Below are 21,999 nucleotides of genomic sequence, written 5' to 3' on the forward strand. Positions count from 1 at the left end.
TCAGATAGCTGACCACAGCCAAATAATTTATTTAAAAGAGTTCACAAGTTTAATACCATTCAACAGACCAGTGACTGATCCAAAGCAAGTTTCTGTGTTTAATACAGTATACCCATACCTGTTAAGTTACTGGCAACTTGTCGACACTGAACTAAAAATTCAAACCAAGGGTGTGCTTCATGTAACTCTTTTTTTTCCAAAAAGGGACAATTTTCAGGACTAAGTCTGTATATAAAACAAACAAAAACCTTCTTTGATTAACATACAGGATAAGACAATTACAACCATTTTGCTCAGGCGATGATTAGCATTTAAAAAAAGAATCTTGGAATTAAAAAGTAAATATAACACAAAATACTCCCACTCTTGTGTTGTATTTTACATATTCTTCATGATCTGGAAACAATTTTAGAGATAGAGATTTTAGAGACATCATATGTTCACTACCATGATGAAATTTATCCAAATCTTTATCAGATTAATAGATACCTTGTACTTTAAGATACTTCATATTTTATTGGTTTTTACAACAAAAACTTTTTAGCATATTCAAACTTAATAAGAGGCTTTTAAAAAACTCTTACAAGCCAAGTGTGGTGGTGTGCACCTGTAGTTCCAGTTACTTGGGAGGCGGAGGTGGGGGAATTGCTTGAGCCTAGGAGTTCGAGGCTGCAATGAACCATGATTGTGCCACTGCACTCCAGTCTAAGTGACAGAGTGAGACTGTCTCAAAGTAAAAAAGAAATAAAAAGCTTACACAACTACAGAGAGGTTACAACTGAGGAATTATGGCTCAGAATACATACTTTGAAAATACAGCTCTTAAACCTGTTCTCTTGCCAGTAGCTATGGAGACAACATTTCTAAGTAAGACTAATGATATGACATACCAAAAATACAACTTCTCTTGGAACTCCTAGTCTGTTTTTTTTGAGACCGGGTCTCACTGTATTGCCCAGGCTGGAGTGCAGTGGCGCAAACATGGCTCACTGCAGCCTGGACCTCCTAGGCTCAAAGTAATCCTCCCACCTCAGCTTCCCAGGTACCTGGGACTACAGGTGTGTGCCACTATGCCTGGCTGATTTACTTCTTTGTAAAGAAGAAGACCCACTACATTGCCCAGGCTGATCTTGAACTTTTGGGCTAAAGTGATTCTCCTGCCTTGGCCTCCCAAAGTGCTGGGATTAGAGATGTGAGCCACCGTGCCCGGCCAATTCCTAGTCTTTACTACACAAAATAAGTAAAATAAAAATGTTGCCTATGAGTGCACAAATGTGGGCTCCAGAATAAAAATTAAGTAGAATTAAATCAGCTCTTCCACTTATTAGCTGTGTGCCTTAAGTAACATACTTAGTCTCTCTCAAAGCCTGTTTCTTCATCCATAAAATGGACATGGGAGTAACTACCCCATAGAGTTTTTGTGAAGATTAAATGAGATAATGCATATAAAGTACTTAGCTTAGTGCCAACATTGTAAACACTCACATATTAAAGACTACTTCTATTGTTATTGTTATTACTGACCCAATAGCAATTAACACTGGCCACAGATATGATTCTGCGGGTTAATCTTAGGCAGACAGATACTAATGTATTGCTCTCTCTTTCTCTGTGCGTGTGTGTGTCTATAGAAATATAAATTTTAGAGCATATCTAATATACCTTGAAAGTGAAATACAGTTTGCTATGAAATCAAAGTTGCTTAGCATTCTCTTGGTAATCAAAGTATCAAAGAAAACTCCAAGTAAAACTTTAGAATCTTCCTCTCAAACCTTTTAAAGCATTTCTTTCATTGTATTCTAAAGTCAAGTTATTTAAAAGGTTAACAGAGATACTACAGAATTAATTCACCAAAAAACACATAAGCATTTTGCTGAATGTAGTACTGAACTCAAAGATGTACCAACTGTTGAGATGGAGAAAACTACCTCAAAAAGATCAGTATTCCTCGTGTGAATGCTTACTATTTTCCTAAAAGTCACATTCAGGAGTCATATGCAAAGAGAAAATGTGAAGACCTGCTCAAGGACAAATGCATTCTCAGTACTCACTTGTAACAGTCAAGGTAGACATAAAGAAGATGCTGCAGACTGTGCTCCAAACAATAGAGAATGAATTGAGAATGGAAATCCCAACCTTCTTTGGTCTTGTAGTTTTGAACAGGGAGGGTATCCTGTATTACACCTCCAATACGGCTCAGTCTTAGGAGGAAGCATTCAAAGTCTTCCAGTTCAGATGCCAAAAAAACCCCATTCCTATGGACAGATTTATAGGATGTCAAGTTAAAAAGTTGCTATGTTCAGAGTAGACCAAATCATGCCCACAGTTTAGGTCTCAATTACTTAAAAATAAGCATTTACAAATTAATGCTGCCAGTTCTTACTCTATATGTTCTCAGACACATTTTTTGCTGATTTCTAATAAAATTTTCTGCACCACTGTAGTATTTAAAGGTAGCAACGACAGACTCAAGCTATCTTTATTATTTTAAAAACCTAAATCAAGTTATTTCCATTTTTTGGTTTTTGATGGGAGCCATTACCCAGTATAGCAACAGTGGTTAACCCTTGAAGCTAGATGCTCTAAGCACTGAGAAATTCACCAAGATATCCAAACAAAATCATCATGCTACATCAGAATAATTTAAATAGACCTACTGAACAAGAATAGAAATCTGCATGTAAATATTACTTTTTACAAAGTTACTGTTACATCATATATACCAAAGGAGTAAAGAAAATATATACCTGTATATGGAGTTTATAGAAACATCATGGAACCACTAACCTAATTATAGAACATTATAAGCCCTTGGTATATTCCTTCCCAACTGCATGCCCTTTGCTACCTCCAGAGGTAGCCACTATCTTGACTTTTATGATAATCATTCCCATACTTTTTTTTTTTTTTTTTTGGCAGGGTCTTGCTCTGTCGCCTAGGCTGGAGTGCAGTGGTGCCACCTCAGCTCACTGCAAGCTCCGCCTCCTGAGCTCAAGTGATCCTCCTACCTCAGCCATCTGAGTAGCTGGGACGACAGGCATGTGCCACCACACTCAGTTTTTAAATTTTTTGTAGGGACAAGGTCTATGTTGTCCAGGCTGGTCTTGAACTCCTGGACTCAAGCAATCCTCCTGCCTAGGCCTCCCAAAGTGTTGGGATTACAGGTGTGAGCCACTGTGTCTGGCCTTTTTACTTTTATTCATAGTTTTATTACACATATATGCAATCCCAAATAATTTAAGGTTTTACCTATTTTGAACTTTGTATTATGTGGAACATTCTGGATATATTGTTCTCTACCTTATTTCTTCTACCCAACATTGTGTGATTTATCCATGTTGATACCTCTGGGTATAATTTGTTATTTTTCATTATTATATAGTATTCCATTGTATGAATATACCATATTTATCCACTCTACCTTTGAGAAAATTTAGCCATACTTATGATAAAAACTATTGGCAAACTAAGCATAGATGCAAACTCCCTTAACTTTACAAGGGGTATCTAGAAAAATCCTTCTAGCCAACATCATATTTATTAGTGAAACACTGAGGTCCATTTTAGTTGTTCCTAAATTTCGGGTAAAATAAATTTGCATTTCCTTACCTATAAATGAGGAAGAGCATCTTTTCCTATATTGATTAGCCATTTGTGCTTCCTCTTTTGTGAGAAGCCTGTGCTGGTATCCTTCTCCTCAGATCCAAGCTCTACTCTGCGTCACCCTACTCTGTTCCTGGAGGCTCACCTCTATGGGTTCTACTACGAGACCCCAGTGTCCTCAGACTTCTGTTTTAGTTCACTCAATGGGAGGGCTCCATCAGGAGATAAAAGGAAATATCCTGGCTCTCTCTGTGCTGGGTGACTACAGCTTGGCTGACACCCTACACTAAGGGTCACAACTCCTGCCAGGCAGCTCTCTTGGTCTCAGTGCCAGATCTTTGCCCCTTTAGGCCTTTTAGAAAGCATATATCCTACTACTCCCAAGGTTGTGAAGATATTCACTTATAGCATTTTCCATATTTTATACTTTCACATTTGACATTTAGGTGTTAACATCTACCCAGAATTGATGTAATGTACAACACAAGGTAGGGAGGGGAATCTGATTAGATTTTTTTCCCCATATAGCTATTCAGTTATTCTAGCCCCATTGTCAAAAAGATGGTTCTTTCTCCACTCTTGTGCAGGACCACCTCTGTCATATGTAAAATGATCATACAGGTATAGGTCTGTTTCTAGGCTCACACTTCTGTTCTCTACCCCGGCACCAATACTCTGTCTTAACTGCTACAGCTTTAGAATAAGTTTTGATATCTGGTAGGGCAAGTTCTTTTTCAGGGCTCTTCTTAACCCTCTAATTTCTTTTTGTTGTTTTTTTTGAGATGGATTCTCACTCTGTCTCCCAGGCTGGAGTTCAGTGGCTTGATCTTGGCTCACTGCAACCTCCACCTCCTGAGTTCAAGTGATCCTCCTGCCTCAGCCTTCTGAGTAGCTGGGATTACAAGCAAGTGCCACCACGCCCAGCTAATTTTTGTATTTTTAGTAGAGACGATGTTTCATCATGTTGGCCACGCTGGTCCCAAACTCCTGACCTCAACTGATCTGCCTACCTCAGCCTCCCAAAGTGCTGGGATTACAGGTGTGAGCCACCGTGCCCGGCAGACCCTCTAATTTCTATATAAATATTTATGATCGGCATGTCATAATCCACAAAACAAAAAACAAAAAACAAAAAAATAACCGCTGGGATTTTTACTGAGATTACACTATATTTAAAGATCAACTTGGTAAGACTTGATAGCAGGCTTGTCTTGCTCCAAATCTAAAGAGAATGCTCACAATGTTTCACTAGTAAGTATGATGTTGGCTAAAAGGATTTTTCTAGGTACCCCTTTTAAGTTAAGGGAGTTTAGGCCAGGCGCAGTGGCTCACGCCTGTAATCCCAGCACTTTGGGAGGCCAAGGCAGGCGGATCACGAGGTCAGGAGATTGAGACCAATCTGGCTAACATGGTGAAACCTCGTCTCTACTAAAAATACAAAAGAAAAAAAAAAATTAGCCAGGCGTGGTGGCGGGCGCCTGTAGTCCCAGCTACTGGGGAGGCTGAGGCAGGAGAATGAGGAGACCTGGGAGGCGGAGCTTGCAGTGAGCAGAGATAGCGCCACTGCACTCCATCCTGGGCGACAGAGTGAGACTCCATCTCAAAAAAAAAAAAAAAAAAAGGCCGGGCACGGTGGCTCACGCCTGTAATCCCAGCACTTTGGGAGGCCGAGGCGGGCAGAACACGAGGTCAGGAGATGAAGACCATCCTGGCTAACATGGTGAAACCCCATCTCTACTAAAAATAAAAAAAGAAATCAGCCGGGCGTGGTGGTGGGTGCCTGTAGTCCCAGCTACTCTGGAGGCTGAGGCAGGAGAATGGTGTGAACCCAGAAGGCAGAGCTTGTAGTGAGCCAATATCACGTCCCTGCACTCCAGCCTGGGTGACAGCGAGACTCCATCTCAAAAAAAAAAAAAATTAAGTTAACGGAGTTTGCATCTATGCTTAGTTTGCCAAGTTTTGATTGTAAATAGGCTGAATTTTATCAAATGCTTTTCTGTATCTAACAGGGTGGTATGATTTTTCCCCTTTAATCTGGTGGTATAGAGTTCATTAATTTACTAATTTCATAATTCCAAAACCATATATACATTAGTTTAAAAACCAAATGCTAAGCAAAATATTAGGTAAGCACACAAGTTCTATAATATTTACTAGTAGTAAACAAGAGCATTTAGTGCAATGGAGAGAAGAATGAATAGAAAATCAGGGCTAAGGGATTTAAATCTGTAACAAACTGGCTTGGGCAAAGCACTTAACGTCCCTGGATCTGACTCTCCACATCTTTAAGCTGGGGAGGAAAATACAGCTGTAAGTATACCCCAATAAGTGTAAATAGAAAATAATACATAAAAATATGTTTAAGAAACTTAACATACATGTTATTAGCTTTCCTTATACTATTTCAACAGGTTAGAAAGATAGATTAAATGGAGCCGAATGAAATGGTTGATATTCAGTCATTTTTGACCCACACAAATGGCAAGTTCATATGGTTCAATTTAACAGGCTTTTCTAAATGAATTAAAGTTTAAAATCTTCACATCACTTCAAGAGCTACTTCCCCTCATTATTTCTTAATTCAGCAGTTCTCTTAGTTCAAGAACATGCACAACACACATGTAGTGATATGAAGCACAGGAGACAGGATACTAAGGTATCTCCATCTCAGCTCTTGTCACTTGCTCCTTATAGCCCTACTGAAAACTTAACATTTCTATACCAAAGTGCATAAAATGTTTTGGGAGGAACCTGCATCTAGACCTTGAGAGCTTATTTACTACCCACATGATATTAAATGCATATGATTTTTTTTTTTTTTTTTTTGAGACAGAGTCTCACTCTGTTGCCCAGGCTGGAGTGCAATGGCGCAATCTCGGCTCACTGCAACCTCTGCCTCCTGGGTTCAAGCGATTCTCCTGCCTCAGCCTCCCAAGTAGTTGGGAGTACCCGGCATTATGCCTGGCTAATTTTTGTATTTTTGTAGAGACAGGGTTTCACCGTGTTGGCAAGATTTGTCTTGAACTCCTGACCTCAGGTGATCTGCCCGCCTTGGCCTCCCAAAGTGCTGAGATTACAGGCATGAGCCACCGCACTTGGCCAAATGAGTATGATTTTAAAACCTCACTGTAAGATGATGCCCTTTAAATTTTATAGTAATATGAAACAACACTACACTGGATTTATGGCATTTCAAAGGAAAAGCTATACCATTATTTTTTCTTGCTCTTCCCTTGTATTCTTCCCATTGGGTATTAGTTCAACAGTTATAATACCTGGCCAGCTTATCTAAAATTTCATTCCTCATGTAGTTGTTACAGGAAGTATTCTGGTTAATAACATCAACAGTCAGAAGGGGCCATTTGTTCTGCTGAAGTGAAGCATAACTATGCTGGGTTTGAAATTCTCCAATCCATAAGATAATGTTTAACCAATCATGGCGAGCTGTGAGGTATCTCCAGAGGGCTTCAGGGGAATATGATTTGTATTCTACATGAAAAAAAACACATTTTAAAATATAATTAATTATGTCTATTGACATGTAACTCAACACTAAATTACTGAGTAAATATAACAATCTGGACATAGATATTTATACAATATATTAATTATTCAGGTCCTCTGTTTTACTATTTTCCTTTTTTTGAGACAGGATCTCGCTGTGTTGCCCAGGCTGGAGTGCAGTGGTGCACTCGTGGCAGCCTCGACCTCCTGGGCTCAAGTGGTACTCCTACTTCAGCTGCCCAAGTAGCAGGGACTACAGGGATGTGCCATCATGACCAGGTAAATTTTTTTTTTTTTTGAGACAGAGTCTCGCTCTGTAGCCCAGGCTGGAGTGCAGTGGCGCAATCTTGGCTCACTGCAACCTCTGCCTCCCAGGTTCAAGCGATTCTCCTGCCTCGGCCTCCCAAGTAGCTGGGATTACAGGAATGCACCACCACACCCAGCTAATTGTTGTATTTTTAGTAGAGGCGGGGTTTCACAATGTTGGCCAAGCTGGTCTTGAACTCAGGTGATTCGCCTGCCTCAGCCTCCCAAAGTGCTGGGATTATAGGCGTGAGCCACCACGCCCGTCCACCCAGGTATTTTAAAAAATATATATTCTGTAGAGATGGGGGTCTCACTATGTTGCTAGGCTGGTCTTGAACTCCTGGCCTCAAGCAATCTTCTCATCTCGGTTTCCCAAATTTCTGGGATTACAGGTGTGAGCCACCGTGCCTGGCCACATTGTTCATTTTATAATCAATGCTACAGCCAAAGAACTAGATGTAGCTTCTAATTACTCTGGTGGTTAAAATGAAACTTACGTATTAGCTGTACATTTCACTTACCTGTTCAACCCTTTTTTTCCCTTCTCTTTCCCTTAATGTAAATAAAAACTTTGTTTCAGATGGGGAAGGATGAAAAGAAAAAAATAAATTAAAAATAATAAACAAACAAAAACTTCAGCCATAATAGTAAGCCAGAATTTTACTCTCTGAATTGCTACTGTTTACCACTGTTAGTTATGACCCAGATCCCCCATATCAGATGGCATAGATCCCCAATTTACACAAGAAGCTCAAGACTATTTGAAAAAACAGATTGTCACTTTGAAGCTGGAATGAAAACTCAGCCTTGAAATCTCAATTAACTATTTTTTTCTTTTATTAGCACATTATAAATCCCTCCCAGAAACTCTGAGATAAGAAAGAGATCTTAATGCAACGACTTGCATTTTAAAGAACCTGAATATTATTTCCCGAAAGGAATTCTAAAATTGAGACACATCAAAATATTCAAATATCAATACCCAATTTAATCCTCATTCAGTATGTTCATATTTCAGGCTCTCTCACACTTGCCTTCTGGACTTATCCTGGGGAGAAGGATGGATTCTTGTGTTAGTTGATCCCACCACAGAGCCCAATTTAACACAATTCTATGGTCCTGTTTGTTAAATTCATCTTTACAATCATATTTCAGGAATGAGTCCAAAACAGACTTGTGCTTGAAAAAATCTTGTTCCTTTATCCAGTACCTAAAAACAGTGATATAAATTTTTTTTTTTTTAATTTTGGAGAAAAAGGCATCATTCCTTTTTATCTGCTCAAGAACATCCACTCTTTTGGGGAACACATAATTCTGATTATGCAAATATTAAAATGACAGAAAACTCTCGAGTCCCTTCTGTCTGATACAAGTTTTATCTCCAAGGAGAATGCAGGCTCAGTTCCACATAAGAAACTTGTGTTCACTAACAACTATAAATGAAATACTATCTAACGGTATTCTAATATTATCAAAAGAGGACTAATGAGACTACCTGGGAAATGACTGGATTTGCATATTTTCTTGGAAATGTCCCAAATAAAGCTTCTCAACTTGATGCACGAAGTCTATAGTTCTTTTCTCTTTTTCAGAAAAATAATTTTTTTCTTTTAAAATTTCAACCTTGAATAAAAAGTAATTAAAGCAGTGACTTTACAAAAAATCAAGCACTTTTGCAAAAAATGTCATGAGATTATCAAATAAGGTAGTGCTGGGAATTAAAGATTATTAAAAAAAGTCATGAGATAATATGCCATTCAAGAATTATATTTTGAACATTTGAGTTAATGTATGTTAACACAAATTTTCTTTTGCCACAAATGTAAAATAGTCATTGAAGAAAGATGAAGGGGAAAAAAAGATGAAGGGGTTGTCACACTTTTACTTATTAGATATTAGTTGAACATTAAAATTACTTAAGGTTTTTCTTCCAAGGTTTTCTTCCAAGTTTTTCACCCAGGCTTTCTAGAAAATGTATACTATGTAGTCTCACCTTTACCTACCAAAAAGTCACGTATATTTTTATTAGTTGTATAGAAGCAGATCTTGAGCAATTGGCCTTTTACATCAAACCCCTAAAATAAACATAGAAAACCAAAAAAAGTTACATTTTGTAATGGAACTATTTTGAACATAAATATGTGTTAGATACAGAAACACCCTATTATAAACATCTATCTTGTTAGAATTCCATAGCTTTCTGCTCTTTCAAACACTCATTTCCCTACTTTCTTTTTTCTTTTTGAGACAGTCTAGCTGTGCTGCCTAGGCTGGAGTACAGTGGTGTGATCACAGCTCACTGCAGCCTCGACCCCCAGGCTCAAAGCGATCCTACCAACTCAGCCTCCCAAGTAGCTGGGGCTACAGGTGTGCATCACCATGCCTGGCTAATTTTTGTATTTTTTGTAGAGATGGGATTTCTTCCTGTTGCCCAGGCTGGTCTTGAACTCCTAGGCTCAAGTGATCCTCCTGCCTCAGCCTCCCAAGGTGCTAGGATTACAGGCATGAGCCACCCTGCCTGGCCCTCCTACATTCATTATATGTATTTACTGCCTATCCCTAAAGTCCTTAAGCATTTTGTCAGAGCAAAGGCAGCACACAGAACAATTTAAGGCAATGCTAGGCTACCACAGGACCAAAATGACAGCAATCTGGTATGCTGATTCAAGTGGAAACAATGATCAATGCAAACAACATCCCTTTTACACAGTTCCACTCCTCTGCACCTCCTGAAAGTTACCATGGGCAAGACCCCAACCATGCAGGTTAGGGCTAGATCTCAGCTTAGTCTAGGAGCCCTACTTCTAAGGCTTCCCCTTCTCATATGAAGTAAAACCACAGAGCATAAAGCCCAGCAAAGGCATAATTTATTAGAAAGTTCAAGTGGAGATGTTAAGGGGTCACATGAACAATACAGAATGTCCTCCAACAAATAATGAGCTCCTATGCATGCTTCGACAAGTGTGAAGTCTTCTATGAGAAACACTATCTCCTCCTAATCAAAGTGCCAGGTCTAACAGAGTACTTTTCTTTTCTTTTTCTTTTTTTTTGAGACAGGGTCTCGCTCTGTCACCCAGGCTGGATGGAATGCAGTGGTGTGATCTCAGGTCACTGCAACCTCTGCCTCCCGGGTTCAAATGATTCTTGTGCCTCAGCCTCCCGAATAGCTGGGATTACAGGCATGCATCACCCACCTGGCTAATTTTTGGCCTTTTTAGTAGAGACAGCATTTACCACGTTGGCCAGACTGGTCTCAAACTCCTGCTTCAAAAGTGATCTGCCCATCTCGGCCTCCAAAATTGCTGGGATTACCGGTGTGAGCCACTGCACTCGGCTCAGAGAGTACTTTTAAATGCCATTTAAAAATCTCTTCAAGAGATATGGAAATAACCTAAGTGTCTATCAACAGATGAATGGATAAAGAAAATGTGGTGTATATATACAAAGGAATATTATTTGGCCTTAAAAAAAAAAAAAGAAAGGCCAAGTATGTTGGCTCATGCCTATAATCTCTGCACTTTGGGAGACCAAGGCAGGAGGATTGCTTGAGCCCAAGAGTTCGAGACCAGCCTGGGCAACATAGTGAGACCCTGTCTCTACAAAAAAAGAAAAAAAAAAGAGAGAGAGAGAGGAAAACCTGCAATTTTAAACAACATGGCTGAACCTGGAAGATATTATGCTAAATGAAATAAGCCAGACAAAGAAAGACAAATTCTTCATGCTCTCACTTATATATGGAATCTAAAAAAAAGCTGAACTCACAGTAATAGAGAGTGGAATGATATTACCAAGGACTGTGGGGTAGGGGAAAGGAGTAGATATTGGTCAAAAGGTACAAACTTTCAGATATAAGATAAATAAGTTCTGGAGACCTATGTACAGCATAGTAACTAAAGTTAATAATAATACATTGTATACTTGAAATCTGTTGAGAGTAGATCTCAAGTGTTCTCACCATATAGACACACATAACTATGTGAGGTGATATATTAATTAGCTTACTTGTGGTAATTTTTTCACAATGTACATACATATCAAAACATCATATTGTATACCTTAAATACATGTAATTTTTGTCACTCATACCTAAATAAAATTAGGGGGAAAATATCTTCAAGAAAGTTCTCAGGCCAGGCACGGTGGCTCACGCCTGTAATCCCAGCACTTTGGGAGGTCGAGGCAGGTGGCTCACCTGAGGTCAAGAGTTCGAGACCAGCCTGACCAACATGGAGAAACCCCGTCTCTGCTAAAAATACACAAAATTAGCCAGGCATGGTGGCGCATGCTGTAAACCCAGCTACTCAGGAAGCTGACGTAGGAGAATCGTTTGAACCTGGGAGGTGGAAGTTTTGTGAGCCAAGATCGCACCATTGCACTGCAGCCTAGGCAACAAGAGTGAAACTCTGTCTCAAAAAAAAAAAAAAAAAAGCTCTCAGTACCAAAACATTTCTCAGTGTTATTTCTCTTTTAGATTTAGAGACAGGGTCTTGCTCTGTTACCAGCTATTTTTAGGTGCAATCATAGTTCACTGCAGCCTAGAACTCCTGGAGATCCTCCTGCCTCAGCCTTCTGAGTAGCTAGGACTACAGGTGTGCTATGGTTTGGATCTGTGCCCCTGCCCAAATCTCATGTTGAATTGTAACCCCCAATGTTGGAGGAGGGGCCTGTTGGGAGGTGACTGGATCATGGGGGCGGATTTCCCCCTTGCTGTTTTTGTGATAGGAAGTAAGTTCTCACGATATCTGGTTGTTTAAAAGTGTGTAGCACCTCCCCACTGCTCTCTCTTCCTCTTTCTCCTGCCATGTAAGACAGGCCTGCTTCCCCTTCATCTTCTGCCATGACTGTAAGTTTCCTGAGGCCTCCCCAGCCATGCTTCTTGTATAGCCTGTGGAACTGTGAGCCAATTAAACCTCTTTTCTTTCTAAATTACCCAGTCTCAGGTAGTTCATTATTATTTATTTAGTTACTTTTTGAGATGGAGTCTTGCTCTGTTGCCCAGGCTGGAACGCAGTGGCACCATCTTGGCTCACTGCAACCTCTGCCTGCTGGGTTCAAGCAATTTTCCCTGCCTCAGCCTCCCCAGTAGATGGGATTACAGGCGCCCGCCACCACACCCGGCTTATTTTTCTACTTTTAGTAGAGACGGGGTTTCGCCATGTTGGTCAGGCTGGTCTCAAACTCCTGACCTCAGGTGATCAACCCACCTCAGCCTCCCAAAGTGCTGGGATTACAGGCGTGAGCCACCACGCCCGGCTCAGGTACTTCTTTATAGCAATATGAGAATGGACTAATACAAGGTACAAGGTGTAAGCCACCACGTCCTTTTTATTTTTTTTAGAGACAGGGTCTTGCTATGTTGCCCATGCTGGTATTGAATTCCTGGCCTTAAGCGATCTTCTTGCCTCAACCTCCCAAAGCACTGGGATTATAGACATGAGCCACCACACCCAGCCATTCTCAGTGTTATTAATGTCATTATTTCTTAGTGTCATTATTTACTACATAAATTTCTTAGTTTATGAAATAATTATGAATACAAACCAATTTTATAATAACTAGAAATTATATTAAATACATTTTAAGACTTTATGGATTACACCACTCACCATATTCTTCAAAAGTTCAGAGGCTTCCTTTATATTGTTCTTTTTTAAATTGTCAAAGACCAAATTTAGGCCTATGCCAATAAGCTCCTCAAGTTTTTGAGCAGAATGACTATCAATCCTGAAGAAAGTCTGTGCCTCTGGTATTTTGTTGTTTAAAATGGCGCTGGCAATAACTTCCTAGGAAAAGAAAAACGTTTGCCTTTTAAGTTCTTTTTCATTTCCTTATTATGATTATCAACATGGGATTATACATTTATGTAACATCTAACAAAGGAACTTTTATTTAAAATCTATTACTAGATTTGGAGTTAGGTTCAAGGGATATTAAATTGAGTAAAACTAAGACCCTACACTCCAGGAGCTAGTGGAAGACACACCGATTATAGTACTGTATGATAAGGGCTGTGATAAAAGTAACCCAGGGTGCTAGAGAGGAAGGTCTAGAAGAGAAACACCTAAATAAGAAGGATGACCACCCCCACCCCCGTGTCCCCCCACATAGGCTTGCTAGTAGAAGTAACTAGTAACTGATGGGCAAAAAATTTAAAGACCAGTAAGTGTTCCGTAGATATACTGAGATAAGAGGATAAGTGTTCCAAAAAGAGGGAATATCATATGCAGAGGGACAAAGAAAAGAAACTGCATCAAGCCTTCAGGGAACTACAAATTACTCAATGTAACTGGAGAGAGTAGCAGATGAGACTTGAAAGCAAAGCAGAGGATCCATCATCATGAGCCTTGCGTTTGAGGTAGATTTTATCCTGAAACTACGTGGAGCCACTGAAAGACCGTAAAAGCAAGATGTGATGTAATCAGATATATATTTACAGAAAAATATCCAGGCAGCAATATAGAGAGTGGACTAAAAGTGATTCAAGCTCAAGATATTGAGGCATTAGAAGGCTACTACCAATAATCCATGTGAAAAGAAATACTTAAACTGAAGATCTAAACACTAGAGGGAACAGAAAGGAGGCACTCTTAACCTAGGGCTTTAAAGAGATCTGTAAACCCCATTAAGCCATGTATAAAATTTTGTCTATGTGTACACATTCACATGCCTGTTTTTGAAGACAGGGTCTACAATTTTTACCAGAGTAAAATATAACCCCTTCCCCTGGCAAAAGTTGAAAATCAGTGATTTTGAGTAAAAAGAGGACCATAGACAGAGCCTTGCAGAACATTAAAGGAGGGAAACAGGAAGAGAAATCTGTGAAGGAGACAGGAAAAAGGAGACAAAAAAGTAGAAGGAAAAGTAAGTAATTTTTTTTTTTTTTGAGACAGAGTCTCGCACTGTCACCTGGGCTGGAGTGCAGTGGTGCGATCTCAGCTCACCGCAACCTCCACCTCCCGGGTTCAAGCAATTCTCCTGCCTCAGCCTCCCGAGTAGCTGGGATTACAGGCGCCTGCCACCACACCTGGCTAATTTTTTTGTATTTTTAGTACAGACAGTGTTTCACCATTTGGTCAGACTTGTCTTGAACTCCTGACCTTGTGATCTGCCTGCCTCGGCCTCCCAAAGTGCTGGGATTACAGGCGTGAGCCACCGTACCCGGATAATTTCTTACTTTTTAAGGTTACAGAATGAATAAGAGATACAGAAAATGCAGTCACACCACGTACTTTAATCCCTCCACCCCAAGAACAGCAATCTTAACAACCTAGCAGCATCTCCATCTTATCACTTTAATTCCCAATTGATTATGATCATCTGTGTTAAGCTGTTTTAGCTTTTGTTTTTCCAATACCAATACCCTCCAGTGGATGAAGGAATTCTTCCAGTCCCTAAGTCATACAGATGGTAGTAAATTTTAGTTGTATTATAACTTTTACTGTGGTGGGAAAAAAGGCAAACAGATGGAAACAAATTTAACTGGCAAAATGTCTTAAATAGAATTTCAGATAGGACTAAAATTAAGTATACTTCTAAGTAATAATGTCATAAAATAAAAATTTCCAAAGATCTAATCATCAGCAGCAATTCAATTTATCCAGTCAGGCAGAATGCATGTGTCCAAAGCACCAGGCTTGAGCCAATGAGGGAGTATTGCTAAGGAGTACCACTTCACATGGGTTTAGAGTTGGGTGTTTGTTACTGAACCCAAGTGGGCAGATCTAGCATTAAGAGGGAGCCTACCCTTATAGCGAATTAAATAAATGGAGCTTGTAGACATAAATTTGAAGTCATAATCAGAAATCCCCAAACCGATAAAACCTAAAACCTTTGCCAAACATTCTGAATCACAAGTATATAGAGTCTGAATTCTGTTTCTTTCTATTGTTTTCTCAGACCTTCTGAATCTGGCAAATAAAAGAAGTGATGATTATTCGTACTTACCTCAAAGCTGAGTTTCTTCCATATATTGCTCTCCTTTACTTTGGGGACATTTTCATGTACATCATATTCATCTATAGCATCTGTTAGCTTCCAAGGAAACTTTATCATGAAGGTTCGAAGTTCATTAATGTAGCTAGTCAAAATGTTCACTCCTTTTTGCAGATGTTCATCTAGTTCTATGGAAAATACCAATGTGCCAATTTGTGTGTGTGTGTGTAAATATAAACCATGAGCTGTTATAAAGAATTCTAAAGAAAGTCAAAATTCAAACTTGGTATTTTTAAATTTCAAACAATATGTCTGAGGATTTTCCTTTTTACAAGTAAGTAGCTCTGTATTTTAATATAACCCTTTCCTTTTCTTGTCCTTCATGATTAGTCCTGGGTCTTTCTACCAACTTTCTCAGTATCAAAACCCATTTCACTTACTCAACTACACACTGACCTTACCCAAATGTAGTAAATGGCGTGCCACTGGTTTATGCTGTGTCACCCAATAGCAGCACTTGTATCTGTTCTGACACAGGAACAGTAGAATTGCCCCCTTCCTAGCTGCTATTCTTACCTTCAGTGTGAATGAAAAGCTCCTTTATTTGGTTGTTAAGGAAAGACAGTGTAAGATTAAGCAATTGTTCTGAAAAGTGTTTGCTTTGGGGTTCAGAATAACTTTCTCTAATTGCCGAGCAAAGTAAATCCAATGCTGGTATCAGCTCTTCCACATCTGAGAAAGAACCAAAGAAATTAACATAAAGAACACCAGGATACTCACAATAAAATTAACATATCAAAAATATCATGTTACAATATTTTTAAACATAAAACAAGGACCAATGTCTTATTTTCAAAAAGCTCACAAAACTTTTCTGCAGGCTTATTACCTGCAAACTTTAATGATTCTAATTATTAATAGTTATCATTTACTGATATCACTGCTATTACCCTTTTGCTGACCACCTACATCTTAAGTACTGTACTTGTTGTTTTATAAATGCTATCTCATTTATTCCTTTCAACAACTTAAGAGGTAGGTGTGTATTATATTCTCTTTCCATAGATTAAAAAAACTGAGGTTCAGAGAGGATAAGTAACTTGCCCGAGCTAATTTAGAAAGTAAGTGGCAGGGCCGGGCGCAGTGGCTCATGCCTATAATCCCAACACTTTGGGAGGCCAAGGCAAGCAGATCACTTGAGGTCAGGAGTTCGAGACCAGCCTGGCCAACATGGTGAAACCCCGCCTCTACTAAAAATACAAAAATTAGCCAGGCGTGCTGGCAGGTGCCTGTAATCCCAGCTACTCAGGAGGCTGAGGCAGAAGAATTGCTTGAACCCGGGAGGCGGAGGTTGCAGTGAGCCAAGATTGTGCCACCGTACTCCAGCAGCCTGGGCAACAGAGTGAAAAAAGAAAAAGTAAGTGGCAGGGCCAAAATTTGAATTTAAGCCTGTCTGATTGCAAAGCTATTCTGTGCTAAACATTCAAGTGAAAACAAGAAGTGTGGGCCCCTGGATGTTGCATCGGCAGCTGAAGGCTCTAATTAAGTGATTCCTGTTTGTCTCAGCACTCCTCCCGCTGCCCCCCGTGGATTACATCTGTGAGATGTATGAGAATTATGGGAAACGGGTTTTCCCCCTAGGGGAGCAGGTAAGGCTATTACCAGTGCTTCTCATTCAGGTCCCATCTCCACCCTTTAGAGCTGAGCAGTGCAGGTGAGAGTGGAATGAGGAGAAATCACTAACCACCAAACAACAGAAGTGAATAATGACTCTACAACTGCTGATGGAGCCCTGCTCAATATCAAAAACTAGGCCTTTTTCTATAAATTTAAGCAGTTTTTAAAACATCAGAGCATTAGAAAAGCTGGCAATTCAAGAAAGAGGAGACCAAACTCTGCACTCAAAACAAAATAGAATGTGTGTTTTTGTTTTTGTTTTTTTGAGACGGCGTTTCACTTGTCCTCCAGGCTGGAATGGAATGGAGCGATCTCGGGTCACTGCAACCTCCGCCTCCTCCCTTCAAGCGATTCTCCTGCCTCAGCCTCCCGAGTAGCTGGGATTACAGACATGCACCACCACACATGGCTAATTTTTGTATTTTTAGTAGAAATGGGGTTTCACCACGTTGGTCAGGCTGATCTCGAACTCTTGACCTCATGATCCACCCATCTCGGCCTCCCAAAGTGCTGGGATCATAGGCGTGAGACACTGCACCCAGTCTGAGAATGTGTTTTTAAAAGAAAATATCTTTCCACCACATATGAGATTTAGGAAGAAAAAAAAGAAAACATCCAATTCATTTTCTCAGTGAAAGCTAATACTACATCAGTGGAAAAACAGCAGGTTGTAATTTTCTCCATGTAAGCAGACTACAAATTGATACAACTTTTGAAGGACAATTTATCAAGGTGTTTAAAAATATAAATTGTGCATACTCTTAAACCTGGAAATTCCAGGTCTAGAATTTAACAATAAATTCTAGTAATATAAGTAAATGATTATATATATGTGAAATTACACACACATACAGCATTTCTAGCACACTGTTAACAGCTAAGAACTAGAATAAATCTAAATGTCTAACAGGAGTTTGGCTTGGTAAATTATGGTACAGCCCATACAATGAAATTCTATGTCATCATATTTAGTAAGTATATATTATTAACAAGAAAGATGTCTATAGTATAAAGTGGGGAAAAAACACAGATTATAAAACCGTATTTACAGAGTGTCAAAGGACAAAATTACAACAAATTTAGATTAAAGATCTCAATTGGTTTTATTGCAACTCTAGAATGTGGCAACACTTAATTTCATAACATGGAAAAGGTGTTCTAGTGAGCTGAGCAGAAGGGGTTGGCTTTATAGACATGGAAGAGCTGAAGAAAGCAGAAGCAAAGAAAAAAGAGCATATTAGTTGTTTCAAAGCTACTTTTTTTGTAAGATGAAGAGAGACAGAATAATACAAAAAATACTGATTATTTAACATGAAACTGCATCAGGCTTTTTTTTTTTTTTTCAATTAAAAATAGAGGCTGAGTCTCACTATGTTGCCCAGGCTGGTCATGAACTCTTGGTCTCAAGTGATCCTCCCGCCTGGGCCTCCCAAAGTGTTGGGATTATAGGTGTGAGCCACTGCACCCAGCTTTTTTTTTTTTTTTTTTTTTTTGAGACAGAGTCTCACTCTGTTGCCCAGATTGGAGTGCAATGGCGTGATGACGGCTCACTGCAGCCTCAACCTCCCAGGCTCAAGCAATCCTCCCACCTCCCTTTCCTGAGTAGCTGAGACCACACATGCACACCACCACGCACAGCTAATTTTTAAATTTTTTGTAGAGGTAAGGTTTCACTATGTTACCCAGGCTAGTCTCAAACTCCTGGGCTCAAGAGATCCTCCCGCTTCAGCCTCCCAAAGTGCTGGAATTACAGCCATGAGCCACTGCACCTGGCCTACATTACTTCTTTTACATAAGGATTATATCAGAGGAACGTCATTATCACGCTGATTGAAGATTGAAACTGGACTGTTTGGGATTATTGGCTCTCTCCTAATTTCTCCCAATGTCAGAAGACCACCTTATTTTAAGTTTGATGCTATGGAACTTTAGCATAGTTGACTCCATTTTGATTTCTGTTCTGGTCTGATGGGGCCTAGTACAGCTCACACCAAAACAATGGTTTCCAGTAATTTTTATTTAACAAGGGGAAAATATACTTTATTACCCTGTTGTTCTAAGGAGAGAATTTACATGGCTACCTGGTCTAAGAATAAAAGTTAGGCTTCCTATTTATTAAAAAGGAAAGCCAAAATCTTGAAAAGTGTTGGTAATATGGCAAAAAAGCAGAGAAGTCTGGGTGAATTTTTTTTTTTTTTTTGAGAGTCGTACTTTGCAACCAGGCTGAAGTGCAGTGGCACAATCATAGATCACTGCAGCCTAGACCTCCCAGACTCAAGCAATCCTCAGCCTCAGCCTTCCAAGTAGTTGGGACTATGGATGCGTCATCATGCCCAACTAATTTTTAAAATTCTTTTGTAGAATGGGGTCTTGCTATGTTCCCCAGACTGGTCTCAAACTCCTAGACTCAAGCGATCCTCCCACCTTGGCCCCTAAAGTGTTAGGATTACAGGGCGAGCCACTGCATCCCACCAAAAATTCTTATAACAAATCCTAATCCACAACTCAGAAAGCCACACTGTCAATACACATCTCAGATGGTTGCAAGGGCAGGCAATTTTCCAAATAAATGTTTTTCTGTTGTGTATAAAACTGTCTTGAATTTGAAAGATTGCCTCTTCCTTGCATAATAAAAATACAGAGTACAGTAAAAGATATGAGCAATAAATACCCCACATAGTATGGGGACATTTATAGAATCTGATAACACTGCCAAATTTCCACAAAGTTGTCCAGGCATGGTGGCTCACGCCTGTAATCCCAGCACTCTGGGAGGCAGAGGATTGTTTGAGCCCAGGAGTTTGAGACCAGCCTGGCAACACAGTGAGACCCCATTCTCTACAAAGAATAGCTGAGTGTGGTGGCATACACGTGTAGTCCCAGCTACTGTAGTAGGCTGAGGTGGGAGGACTGCTTGAGTCCAGGAGGTGAGGCTGCAGTGAGCTGTCATCACCGCACTCCAGCCTAGGCAACAGAGTGAGACTCTGTCTCAAAAAAAAAAAAAAAAAAAAAAAAAAAAAAAAAAAAAAGAAAGTTTCCAAAAAGTACGTAAAATCCCATGACTAAGTTTTGGCAAGTAAATGAGTCATCAGAAAACACAACATCATACTTTGAAAGTTATTAAGAAGATCAAATGATAAATACAAATGTAGAAATCTTTATTCCACTTACTTCTTAAATATAAATGGGATGACAAGTGATCAAACTGATCAGATACAGAAGATTTTGAGGATGGATTAAAAAGATTTTCCTTGCTCTTCAAAAAGAAATTTACTGTGTCCAGCTGACGATTTTCTATCCCGGCCTGAAATGAGGAGGAAAATAAAAATCAGAAAAAAATTACAATAGGAAAAAAAAATCAGGATTCAGATTTTTAAACAAACTTTAGAATTTAATGTGGTGAGACTACAGGAGGCAAAAGACTGCATGAGTACATGGGCTCCAGTGAGGATTTTGACAATGACTGATTATGCAATCTGGGGCAAGACTCTGTAACCTTTCTTTTCCTTTCTTTTTTTTTTTGAGTCAGAGTTTTGCTCTTGTTGCCCAGGCTGGAGTGCAATGGCATGATCTTAGCTCAATGCAACCTTTATCTCTCAGGTTCAAGAGATTCTCCTGCCCCAGCCTCCCAAGTAGTTCGGATTACAGGTGCCCGCCACCATGTCCGGCTAAATTTTGTATTTTTAGTAGAGACAGGGTTTCACTGTGTTGGCCAGGCTGGTCTCGAACTCCTGACCTCAAATGATCCACCTGCCTTGGCCTCCCAAAGTGCTGGGATTACAGGTACAAGCCACTGCGCCTGGCCCAATTTCTGCTTCAATAGAAACAGGAGGTTATTAGACTACAAAACCTTTTCAGCTCTACCATTTTATATTTCTACAACAATTCAAAGCTAAATATTAGGGATTACCCTTACAATTCAGTTATATTCTATTTGAATTAAAATGTTATGGCAGTACAATATAAAGTCCTACTCTGTCACCCAGGCTGAGGTACAGTGGCATGATCTCACCTCACTGCAACCTCTGCCTGCCCAGCTTAAGTGATTCTCGTGCCTCAGCCTCTGGAGTAACTGGGACTACAGGCATGCACCACCACACCCAGCTGATTTTTTTTTTTTTTTTGTATTTTTAATAGACGGGTTTCACTGCGTTTGGCTAGGCTAGTCTCGAACTCCTGGCCTAGAACAATGCACCCAACTCGGCCTCCGAAATTGCTGGGATTACAGGCATGAGCCACTGCGCCCAGCCAGATTCTCAGTTGTCTTTTTTGAGGCAGAGTCTTGCTCTGTCGCCCAGGCTGGAGTGCAGTGGTTTCATCTTGGCTCACTGCAATCTCCGCCTCCCAGGTTCAAGTGATCCTCCCACCTCAGAGTCCCAGGTAGCTGGGATTACAAGTCTGAACCACTACACTCAGCTAATTTAACAGAAACGGGGTTTCACCATGATGGCCAGGCTGGTCTCAAACTTCTGACCTCAGGTGAGGATCCTCCCGCCTAGGCCTCCCAAAGTGCTGGAATTACAGGCATGAGCCATCGCACCTGGCTGCATTCTATATTTTTAATAAACAAAAATAAAATAAACATTTTTTTTTTAAGTATGATGGCCAGGTGTGGTGGCTCATGCCTGTAATCCCAGCTTGGGAGGTCGAGGCAGGTGGATCAGCTGAGGTCAGGAGTTCGAGACCAGCCTGGCTAACACGGTGAAACCCCATTTCTACTAAAAATACAAAAATTAGCCAGGTGTGGTGGCAGGCACCTGTACTCTCAGCTACTCAAAAGTCTGGGGCAGGAGAATCGCTGGAACCCGGGAGGTGGAGGTTGTGGTGAGCCAAGATCATACCACTGCACTCCAGCCTGGGCAGCACAGCAAGATGCTGTCTCAAAAAACAAAAACAAAAACAAAAGAGCATGTGGCCTGAGAAGCCTAAAATATTTACTGTCTGATCCTTTACAAAGTTGTTGGGGCACAGTGGCTC

At 40.0% G+C, this 21,999-nt stretch overlaps 1 protein-coding gene across 9 annotated transcripts in view; it reads right to left on the bottom strand.

Moving 5' to 3' along the window:
* The window catches only part of SPG11 (SPG11 vesicle trafficking associated, spatacsin), a 100,967-nt gene that overhangs the window by 50,616 nt on the left and 28,352 nt on the right, over positions 1–21,999 (bottom strand). For 8 of the 9 annotated variants that reach the window (XR_001751402.2, NM_001411132.1, NM_001160227.2 and 5 more), the window contains exons 8-17: positions 20,194–20,326; positions 15,922–16,077; positions 15,358–15,533; positions 13,020–13,196; positions 9,417–9,488; positions 8,909–9,036; positions 8,448–8,623; positions 6,879–7,092; positions 2,052–2,255; positions 119–225 (exon numbers count right to left, since the gene is read on the bottom strand). Coding sequence is in view for 8 of the 9 variants with exons in the window: in NM_001411132.1 (NP_001398061.1) it covers positions 119–225; positions 2,052–2,255; positions 6,879–7,092; positions 8,448–8,623; positions 8,909–9,036; positions 9,417–9,488; positions 13,020–13,196; positions 15,358–15,533; positions 15,922–16,077; positions 20,194–20,326 (1,543 nt within the window). In the remaining variant the exon portion in view is untranslated. Of the gene's footprint in view, positions 1–118; positions 226–2,051; positions 2,256–6,878; positions 7,093–8,447; positions 8,624–8,908; positions 9,037–9,416; positions 9,489–13,019; positions 13,197–15,357; positions 15,534–15,921; positions 16,078–20,193; positions 20,327–21,999 lie in introns of those variants that run through there. The other variant, XM_047433146.1, reaches the window with a different exon arrangement.

The sequence above is a fragment of the Homo sapiens genome, chromosome 15, assembly GCF_000001405.40.
Source record: "Homo sapiens chromosome 15, GRCh38.p14 Primary Assembly".
Classification (NCBI taxonomy): Eukaryota; Metazoa; Chordata; class Mammalia; order Primates; family Hominidae; genus Homo; species Homo sapiens.